Source organism: Homo sapiens, chromosome 5 (genome assembly GCF_000001405.40).
Source record: "Homo sapiens chromosome 5, GRCh38.p14 Primary Assembly".
NCBI lineage: Eukaryota > Metazoa > Chordata > Mammalia > Primates > Hominidae > Homo > Homo sapiens.
Window position 1 is genome coordinate 177251579 of NC_000005.10, and position 11346 is coordinate 177262924.

The following is an 11346-nucleotide window of genomic DNA, read 5'->3' on the forward strand; positions in this document are numbered from 1 at the left end:
TAGACTAAAATCTACAACTACGGGCCCTTGCCTCTTTCTCACCTCCTTTTCTGCCACTTTTAACCTTTGTTTACTTTAACCCACTGACACTGGTTTTACTCTTGATTCTCAAACATGGAAAAACAGATAGATGTTTTCTTTCTCTTAACAGAATTGTGAAAAATTGGGTGAGCTGCTGTTATGTGAGGCTCAGTGCTGTGGGGCTTTCCACCTGGAGTGCCTTGGATTGACTGAGATGCCAAGAGGAAAATTTATCTGCAATGAATGTCGCACAGGTAAAGTAGATATCGAACGGTCTTCCTCCAAAGAAAGTTTGAATTTTAAGTTTTTCAGGAAAGACATTTATTGGAGACACTATTTTGTGGCAACACTGGGCTAGTTGTTACAGATATAGAAATGGTGCTGTGGGGTCACTGCTTTCAGAAAAGCTACCAAGTGAATAATAAATGGGTAGCATAATACAGTGCAAAAAGCATTGTGTTGGTGATACATTTAGAATGTAATGTAAGCAAAGATGAGCTGATGCCATAGAGGAAGATATCTGTGTTTAGCTTTAAGAGAGAAAGAGAAATTGATGTCGGGAGGGGAAGTGCAGAAGGTCTAGTAATGAAAGCGTGTAAAACATTTGGGGAATATGGAATACAGGCCAATGTGTTTATAGAGTTTAGGATATTTTAGGTAAAAGGCATAGGCAGTAACTAAGAGGGCTTCTTGGTTACTGGTAATATTTTATATTTCTTAATCTGCGTAGTGATTACATGAGCATGTTTACTTCATCAACTATACTCTTAGGATGCGTGTACTTTATGGTGTGTACATTATACATCGATAAAAATATTTACCAAAAAAGTAAAAAGATTATTTGCGGGTTATAATGCTTAGATTGGGTTAGAAAATAGGAATAGTCAGCTGAGACCAGCTGGTAAAGCACTTCATAAAGCTGCGCTAAAGTAAAGTGTTCTTTTTTTTTTTTTTTTTTTTTTTTTTTTTTAATAAGAGATGAGGTCTTGTTGTCCAGGTTTGAGTACAGTGGCGTGATCATAGCTCATTGTAGTCTTGAGCTCCTGGGCTCAAGCAATCCTCCCAACTCAGCTTCCCAAGTAGCTGGGACTGCAACCACTTGCCACCATGCGTGGGCAATTTTTTTTATTTTTTGTTGAGAAAGGGGGTCTTACTATGTTGCCCAGGCTGGAAAGTGTTCTCTCGCTCTCTCTCTCCCTTTTTTTTTTTTTTTTCTTAGCATGATGTGTAGATGTTACAGCATGTAAACAGTGAAGAAATCAGGGCTGAGGTATAGATCTTATGCCTGTAAGTCATTGAAGCTGCACATCTGGATGATACTTCCCAAAGAAAAAGTGTCATTAGGGTAGGATAATGGTCAGTGACACTACCTGGGCGTATATGCTCTTATAACGAGTTACTGGAAGGAGAGGAGGAGCTAGTCAATATCTCTGAAGCCACAGGAGTCAGGTGTTATCTGTAGGGGCAGATGCAGCAAAGATACTAAGGAGGTTCTGGAGTGAAGAGAGGCTTTTGTATGTGGCAGTGAGAAAATGCTTCAATTTTTGCCAGAGGATGTCTCATTACACTAGATTGAAGGGTGAGTGGATAGCCGTATACATAACTTCTTGAAGAAACTTGACTTCAGCAGAAAGGAAGACAGTACCTAAAGGGAGGATATTATAGGGTCAAGAGAAAAATCATTTTGAGTGTGTAAAACAGCTCTATTAAGGTAAAATTGAAGTGCAAACAATTGCACATATTTCAGGCCTATGAGTTGATAAATTTTGGTATGTGTATATGTATGCATCTGTGAAATCATCACTCAGCATTATTATTTTGAGATTCAGTCAGGTTGTTGTGTGTATTGATAGTTCATTTCTTTTTATTGCTGAGTAGTAGTTTGTTGTATGGATTTACTTGGTTGTTGATCCATTCATCTGTTGATAGACATTTGGGTTGTTTCCCGTTTTGGTTATTATAAATAAAGCTGCTGAGAACATTCAAGTTTTTGGACACTTTGTACCCTCCCTGCCCCTTCCCTCCCCCTCCCATTTTTCTTTTTTTTCCTTGAGACAGGGTCTCTCTCTGTCGCCTAGTCTGGAGTACAGTGATATGATTCTGGCTCACTTCAGCCTCAACCTCCCAGGCTCAAGCTATCCTTCTGGCTCAGCCTCCTTAGTAGCTGGGACTACAGGTGCTTGCCACATGCCTGGCTAATTTTTTAAAATATTTTTGTAGAGACAGGATTTTATTACATTATTACCAGGCTGGTTTTGAAGTCCTGGGATCAAGCAGTCCTCCTCGTTCAGCCTCTGAAAGTGTTGGGATTATAGGTGTAACACACAATTCCTGGCCACATTTTCTTTTTTCGGTTTTTGTTTTTGTTTTTGTTTTTCAGAGTCTTGCACTGTCACCCGGGCTCGAGTGCAATGGCGCAGTCTCGGCAACCTCCGCCTCCTGGGTTCAAGCAAGTCTCCTGCCTCAGCCTCCCAAGTAGCTGGGATTACAGGCATGTGCCACCACTCCTGGCTAATTTTTGGATTTTTAGTGGAGACGGGGTTTCTCCTGTTGGTCAGGCTGGTCTCGGACTCCTGACCTCAGGTGGTCCACTCTCCTTGGCCTCCCAAAGTGCTGGGATTACAGGCATGAGCCACTGCACCTGGCCAACTTTTTCATATTCTTAGTGATGTATTTGTAAGACTAATAGTTCTTAATTTTTTGAAATCCAGTTTATCAATTTGTTCTTTTTATGGACTGTGATTTGCTGTCATAGCTAAGAAGTTTTGCTTAACCCAGTGTCACAAAGTTTCGTTGTTGTTTTTTTTCTTTTTAATCTGCGACAGAGTCTCACTCTGTCACCCAGGCCGGAGTGCAGTGGCGTGATCTCAGCTAACTGCAACCTCCACCTCCTGGGTTCAAGCGATTCTTGTGCCTCAGTCTCCCGAGTAGCAAGGATACCAGGCGTGCACCACCATGCCCAGCTAATTTTTGCATTTTTAGTAGAGACGAGGTTTCACCATGTTGGCCAGGCTGTTCTCAAACTCCTGGCCTCAGATGATCCACCTGCTTTGGCCTCCCAAACTCCCAAAGGGCTGGGATTACAGGTGTGAGTCACCACGTCCAACCAGTGTCACAAAGATTTTTAGTTCTGTGTTTTCTTCATAGAATTTTTTAGTTTCACATTTCACTATTAGGTCTGTGATGTGTTTTGTATTAAAGTTTTGCATATGACATGAGGTATAGAGAAGATAGAATTTTTTTATTTTTGGTTTTTTAAATTTGTGGGTTTTTTTCTCTTTTTCCTAGGAAAGCTATTATCTTTGAGAGTAGGACATTTTACCAGTTTTGGTACAGTGTAAGAAATGGGAGTCACTTATTAGTGCTCTTGGCTCACCCTATTTTCCTGCAATAGGGTGGTCACATCATTGTTTAGATTGCTTAGGTTTAATAATAGCTACCACGCCTGTAATCCCAGCACTTTGGGAGGCTAAGGTGGGCGGATTTTTTAAGGTCAGAAGTTTGAGACCAGCCTGGCCAATGTGGTGAAACCTTGTCTCTACTGAAAATATAAAAATTAGCCAGGCATGGCGGTGGGTGCCTGTAATCCCACATACTTGGGAGGCTAAGTCACGAGAATTGCTTGATCCCAGGAGGTGGAGGTTGCAGTGAGCTGACAACATGCCACTGCACTCCATCCTGGGCGAGAGAGGGAGATTGAGTCTCAAAAAAAAAAAAAAGTTACCAGTTATTCAGCATCAGGTAGTGTTTTCCCTGTTTACAAATACATATTCAAATATTGTTCTTAAAATATTTATTTGCTGGATGTTCTCAGTGTTTATAGATAAAATGGATGATTTGAATGAGCCGTTTCCAGCAATTACCTGTAGGAGGATTCATGTTGAGGTCTGTTTACCTGTCAAGCTTAGGCTCTTTTTCTTATGTTGTACTGCATCTCACAGAGAGATAGAGGTCTGTGGTTTTTGTTTTGTTTTGTTTTTTTGTTTTTTTGTTTTGTTTTTCTGAGACAGTCTCCTTCTGTGGCCCAGGCTGGAGTTCGGTGGTGTGATCTCAGCTCACTGCAACCTCCACCTCCCAGGTTCAAGAGATTCTCGTGCCTCAGCCTCTGTATTAGTTGGGATTATAGGCGCCTGCCACCACACCCAGCTAATTGTTTTGTATTTCTAGTAGAGACGGTGTCTCACTATGTTCCCCAGGCTAGGCTTAAATTCCTGGCCTCCAGTGATCCAATTGCCTTAGCCTCCCAAGTGCTGAGTACATTGCTTCTGGGTGGTTTTTGACTTTTTATTACAAAAATCTTAAGACATACACCAGGGTAGAACAATGTAAAGAATCTCCATGTATTCAGTTAATTTCAGTAGTTATCAACTTCTCTCTCATTTTCTCCCTATATTTCAAAAGGTTTCTAACACAACATCTAATGTATAGCGAGAATATGTAATAACTTCTTTGTGTCATCTACCAGCCAGTTCATTTTCAAATTTTCTCATTTGTCTCAGGGATGTCTTTTTATTATGTTTTGAATCAAGATCTAGATCCAGAGAGAGGCCAAAAACGTCTCTGTAGGTTTTGTTAGGGAGATTACCAGCATTGTATGTCGGGTGATTTCCTGTAGTGTAAACTTTTTTATACATCTCTTAAGTTTCTACTTATCTTTAACAATACTGCCCCCACACTTTTTTTTTTTTTTTTTTTTTTTTTGAGGCAGGGTCTCACTCTTATCACCCAGGCTGGAGTGCACTGGTGTGATCTCAGCTCAGTAAACCTCCACCTTCCAGGCTCAAGCAATCCTCCTGCCTCAGCCTCTTGAGTAGCTGGGACCACAGGCATGCATCACCACGCCCAGCTAATTTTTGTATGTTTAGTAGAGATGGAGTTTTGCCACGTTGCCTGGGCTGGCCTCGACTTCCTGGACTCAAGCCAGCCACTCACCTCAGCCTCCTGAAGTGCTGGGATTGTAGGCGTGAGCCTCCTCTCCCAGCCCAACTTAAATTTCGTTGGTTGCCTCCTGGAGGTATCCCCTTAACTTGTTCCTCTGTCATCCATATTTCCTGTAAACTTGTAGTTAGTCCAGGGGCTTGATTAGGTTTAATTTCAGTTTTTTCTTTTTTTGGCGGGGGTGCCAGCGGCAAGCATTTTCTGTAGACAATATGTACTTTCTGTTGTATCACGTCAGGGAGTATCTATTACCAGATTGTTCATTTATAATAATACTAAGATTGTTACAGTGGGTTCAGACGATGTCAAACCGATCAGTCCATTATAAAATTTCTTATGAACTTTTCACCTAATGGTTTAGCATTTGGTAGATTCTTGAATTCTTACTAATTTATCTTCTTTTGGCTTCTCAGGAATCCATACCTGTTTTGTATGTAAGCAGAGTGGGGAAGATGTTAAAAGGTGCCTTCTACCCTTGTGTGGAAAGTTTTACCATGAAGAGTGTGTCCAGAAGTACCCACCCACTGTTATGCAGAACAAGGGCTTCCGGTGCTCCCTCCACATCTGTATAACCTGTCATGCTGCTAATCCAGCCAATGTTTCTGCATCTAAAGGTATGGATTTCTTATGTGGACCAGTCTAATTGTAAAACCTCAGTTTAATTGGCAACAGATATTTTCTTTTTTCTTTCTTTTTTTTTTTTTTTTTTTGGAGACAGAGTCTCGCTGTGTTGCCGAGGCTGGAGTGCAGTGGCGTGATCTTGGCCCACTGCAAGCTCCGCCTCCTGGGTTCACGCCATTCTCCTGCTTCAGCCTCCTGAGTAGCTGGGACTACAGGCGCCTGCCACCATGCCTGGCTAATTTTTTTGTATTTTTAGTAGAGACGGGGTTTCACCGTGTTAGCCAGGATGGTCTCGATCTCCTGACCTCGTGATCCACCTGCCTCGGCCTCCCAAAGTGCTGGGATTACAGGCGTGAGCCGCTGCGCCCGGCCGGCAACAGATATTTTCAAATGCAATCAATCCACCATGTCACTTTATGGCCTCTCTCTAGCTTTTATCAGAGAGATTACCAACATTGTATTTGGGAGAGAAGAGGGGCATAACGAACTAGTTCAGCAGCCAGGCAATGCCAGGGCTCCATAGAACACAATGTGGTCGTGTGGTAGGGTATTAAATATTTGGATTTCATGTGAGATGTAGTTTGAGAAAGTGTTCTGCTGCATGTCCTCTTCCCCCTATTGATTAGAAAACCAGAGTGTAGTCTTCCCCTGGGCTTTTTTTTTATTTTATTTTATTTTATTTTATTTTTTTTTGAGACGGAGTCTTGCTCTGTCACCCAGTCTCCTCGATCTCCTGACCTCGTGAGCCACTCACCTCAGCCTCCCAAAGTGCTGGCATTACAGGCGTGAGCCACCACGCGTGGCCCCCCTGGGCCTTTTTTTTTTTTTTTTTTTTTTTTGAGATGGAGTTTCGCTTTTGTTGCCTGGGCTAGAGTGCAATGGTGCAATCTCAGCTCACCGCAACCTCTGCCTCCCGGGTTCAAGCGATTCTCCTGTCTCAGCCTCCCGAGTAGCTGGGATTACAGGCATGAGCCACCATGCCTCGCTAATTTTGTATTTTTAGTAGAGACAGAGTTTCTCCATGTTGGTCAGGCTGGTCTTGAACTCCCGACCTCAGGTGATCTGCCTGCCTCGGCCTCCCAAAGTGCTGGGATTACAGGTGTGAGCCACTGCGCCCGGCCGGCCATTTTTATATCTCTGGTTTCAGTGTGATATCATTCAGAAATGCATGCCAAGGCAGGATTGGGGGTTTCGTGTTGATTTGTTTTTTGTTTGTTTGTTTTTTTAATGAAAACTCTTGTCCTAGAAATTTTCTTCTGCTTCATAGTTAAGCTGAGACCTGAGTTTTCCAAAACTGTCTGTGCATATAGGTAAACTTAAGTTTTGAAATGTGTTCTCTTTGGTAAAACAAGTTGTTTTTGTTGTTGTTGTTGTTTGTTGTTGTTTTTTTTTTTGAGATGGAGTTTCACTTTTGTTGCCCAGGCTGGAGTGCAATGGCTCGATCTTGGCTCACTGCAACCTCCACCACCTGGGTTCAAATGATTCTACTGTCTCAGCCTCCTGACTAGCTGGGATTACAGGCACATGCCACCATGCCCAGCTAATTTTTGTATTTTTAGTAGAGACAGGGTTTCATCATATCGGTCAGGCTGGTCTCGAACTCCTGACGTCAGGTGATCTGCCTGCCTCAGCCTCCCAAAGTGCTGGGATTATAGGCATGAGCCACTGCACCCAGCATGTGTTTTTTTGTTTGTTTTGTTTTGTTTTAAAACAGGAGGTCTCGCTCTGTTGCCCAGTGTGATCTCAACTCACTGCAATGTCCACCTCCCAGGTTCAAGAGATTCTCTTGCCTCAGCCCCTGGAGTAGCTTGGATTACAGGTGCTTGCCACCACTCCCGACTACTTTTTATATTTTTAGTATAGACGGGGTTTCGCCATGTTGGCCAGACTGTTCTGGAACCCCTGACCTCAGGTGATCTGCCTGCCTTGGCCTCCCAAAGTCCTGGGATTACAGGCTTGAGCCACCGCGCCTGGAAAAACCCAATACTGTATCTCTGCTGGTGAATTCATGTGTGCCAAAAGAACCTTGACTTTTTCCATAGAGGATTGAGGAGGTAAAATTTAGCAGTGTTGATGTTTGTTTTAATCAGACTGTCAGTACCTTTTTTAGGATTATTTCCTGGCCTCATGGGTCTCATAAGTAATTTCACTTGTTGGATCAAAATTGCAGTTTCGATGAGTGTGATGGTGTACACCTGTATTTCCAGCTTCTTGGGAAGGTAAAGCAGGAAGTGGGAAGACTGTTTGAGCACACAGACTTTGAGGTCACGTCCAGCCTTGGCAACACAGGGAAACCCCATGTCTTTATTAATACAAAGAAAAATGAAAAGAGTTGCAGTTGGCTACCTTCTCGTTTTTAATTGTTATTACAGATTGCATTAGAGGGTTTGGTGGTGGTTTCGTGATGGTTTATAATAGATGAAGTATTTGAGGGGATGTGTTTCCTCTGGAGAGGGTAGAGAGGTTCGTTCACTTGAAAGGCTTTAAAAGAATCACAGAGTTCCAGGCAAGCATTATTGTTGTCTCCCCTCTCCCTATTTATTCTGGGGCTGATTTCCTAGTTGTCAGGACAGTGGTTTGAGTTGGGCTTTCCCTTGTTGAAGCAGGCTCACTGACAGTTACGGGATTTGATTCCTTTTGGAGACTTATCACATAGCTCCCATCTGAGTTTTCTTGATGGATCGAGTGTTTAAGATCCATCATCTTAGTGGTCATTCCTTCTATTTGTGACATTTTTTCAGTGCTAACAAATAGACTTGAATAACTCACATTCTTTTTATATTTAATATTTTTGTTTTTCTTTTGCTTGTCCCTGATTTTCCTGCTTTAGGTCGGTTGATGCGCTGTGTCCGCTGTCCTGTGGCATACCACGCCAATGACTTTTGCCTGGCTGCTGGGTCAAAGATCCTTGCATCTAATAGTATCATCTGCCCTAATCACTTTACCCCTAGGCGGGGCTGCCGAAATCATGAGCATGTTAATGTTAGCTGGTGCTTTGTGTGCTCAGAAGGTAAGAAATCATTTCTTCCTCTATTTGTAGTCTAAAAAGGGATTAAATCAATGTTTTAATTGGAACAAAAATACTTTTCATCATATTGCCACTGGAAAAAATATTAGAAATGATACTATTCATCTGCCATTCAGGAAATGATGTCCCGAATTAATGATTACATAGCAGAACTTTTTTTTTTTTTTTTTTTTTTTTTGAGACAACGTTTCACTCTGTTGCCCAGGCTGGAGTGCTATGGCACAATCTCAGCTAACTGCAGCCTCCACCTCCCAGGTTCAAGCAGTTCTCCTGCCTCAGCCTCCCAAGTAGCTGGGATTACAGGTGCCCGCCACCATGCCCGACTAATTGTTTGTATTTTTAGTAGAGACAGGGTTTTACCATGTTGGCCAGGCTGGTCTCAAACTCCTGCCCTCTAGTGATTTGCCCGCCTCGGCCTCCCAAAGTGCTGGGATTACAGGGGTGAGCCACTGTGCCTGTCCAGCAGAACTTTTTAAAACTTGGCTTTGTTGCCCAATAGGGAGAGGTTTTATTTTTCTTATTTTGAATAATGACTTGAATTTTGTTAAAATGATAAACAATTGAAGCAGTAAAGACAAAAATTCACTTAATCTCACCATCAGAAAAAAAAAATCATTGCTTAATATTAAGTGGCATTATTCCAGACATTCATGCATGTCAGCAGATAGAAAGTCTGATACCTAGATAGAAACAATTCTTGAAAATAGCATTACCATGTAATTGTGTTTTGTTAACAAGCAATTTTATACAAATTAATAGAAAAAGAGTGAACGTGATGGAAAAAGCGAAGGGATTTGTGAACTTTAGTTATATATTTTCTCATTGTAAGAATATTAGTTCTTAAGAGATCACGTAGAGGAAAGATAAATTTTCTATATATTTTATTCTTAGCACTTTCACCCAGGCTGGAGTGAAGTGGTACAATCTCGGCTCACTGCAACCTCTGCTGCCACGCCACTCCCCATCCCTCCCCCACCGGTTCAAGCGATTCTACTGCCTCAGCCTCCTGAGTAGCTGGGATTACAGGCGTTCAACATCATGCCCCACTAATTTTTTTTTTTTTTTTTTTTTTTTGTAGAGATGGGGTTTCACCATGTTGGCCAGGCTGGTCTCTTAACTTCTGACCTCAGTTGATCTACTCTCCTCAGCTTCCCAAAGTGCTAGGATTACAGACGTGAGCCAGTGTGCCCGGCCATTTTATTCATTTTTAAAATACTTGTTTTTTAGAGCAGAGTTAGTATAACCTTTTACGTATTTTCTTTTCTATCCTTATCATCCCTGACAACTTGATTTTTGCTAGTTAAATGGAAGATTTTAGCACTCATCACCAGTATGTTAATTGTAGTACCTAAAGTTCTGAATTCGTTATTTCAGTTTTTCTCTTGGTTGTCTGAACTTTTGTGATCCCACAGGTGCTCATTTCTCTGCTTTGAGGCATCATTTGCCTTTGTACTAGAAGGATATCTAGTACAAAGGTAAATGATACTTTTCTAAGTTCATGGTAATGGTATTGGTATTTTGTAATGGTATTTTTCTAAGTTCATTGTGGACTTTGCTCCACTATTTTCTAGTGATGAGAGTGGCACCAGTTCTTCAGTTTTCTCATTTATTTTCAGATTTTATTTTGTTGATTTAGTAGTTACTTGGCAATAATTTTTTTATTATCTACTTATTGATTATGCAGTTTCCTGAAAACCTGGCTGGCTCTGAACATTCTGAGGGACTAATTTTAAAAAGAGTCAATATATGTAATAGAATGAGCATTGTACTTTGAATCTCAAAGTCCAAGTTTGAATTCTGGCTTGTCTCTTCAGGCAAATTGCTTTACCAAGGCTTGGTTTGCTTGTTTATAAAATATAGGCTCTATTCCCTATCACACAGTCATATTATAATAGCATCAATTAAATGAAAAGATATGATTAAAGCCCTTGCACAGTGAGAAAATAAGTTTAAATGGTCTCTGGTCTCATTTTTAATCCTCTGTAGGGCTGACTTTTTCTGCAGCCTGCCTCATTTTGTTTGATTTTCTTCTAAAAATTATCTTTGTTATTACCCACTTTCCCTGCAAGATGACTTCCTTCAAGAAAACAATACCTTCTTTTTCTTTCCTCTTTCTTAAGATATCACTAAAGAAGCCGAACACGGTGGTGCATGCCTGTAGTCCCAGCTATTCAGGTGGCCAAGGTGGGGAGGATTGCTTGAGCCCAGGAATTCAAGACCAGCCTGGGCAATATAGCGAGACTGACCTCATAAACAAAACAAAACAAAAAACAACCAAAAAAATAGATACCACTGTGAAAGGAAAATAAATCCCAGGAGGCCCAAATCACTAAGCCAAGGGAAAAGTCAAGCTTGGAACTACATCAGGCAAACCTGCCTCCCATTTTATTCCTCAATAATACAGCTACAAGGCTGGGCGCCATGGCTCATGCCTCTAATCCCAGCACTTTGGGAGGCTGAGGCAGGCGGATCACCTGAGGTCAGGAGTTCGAGACCAGCCTGGCCAACATGGCGAAACCCCATCTCTGCTAAAAATACAAAACTTAGCCAGGCGTGATGGCAGACACCTGTAATCCCAGCTACTTGGGAAGCTGAGGCAGGAGAATTGCTCTGTTCTGTTGAATTTCACCCTGGCAATGGAAACCGATAGCTTATCTTCACAGGTGTGGGACAGAAAGTCATCCCTATGCTCATCTGAGACAAATGCGTACCTCATTGCTTCCTCTGCCCTATTTATG

General features: G+C 41.8%; 1 protein-coding gene across 12 annotated transcripts in view; it reads left to right on the forward strand.

The window, feature by feature from the left end:
* NSD1 (nuclear receptor binding SET domain protein 1) overlaps positions 1-11346 on the forward strand; it is a 168416-nt gene that overhangs the window by 119781 nt on the left and 37289 nt on the right. For 10 of the 12 annotated variants that reach the window (NM_001409301.1, NM_001409304.1, NM_001409305.1 and 7 more), the window contains 3 exons: positions 152-275; positions 5373-5573; positions 8411-8590. In NM_001409301.1, coding sequence (NP_001396230.1) covers positions 152-275; positions 5373-5573; positions 8411-8590 — 505 coding nt within the window. Of the gene's footprint in view, positions 1-151; positions 276-2401; positions 2513-5372; positions 5574-8410; positions 8591-11346 lie in introns of all 12 variants that reach the window. The other 2 variants (NM_001409306.1, NM_001409307.1) reach the window with 1 other exon arrangement.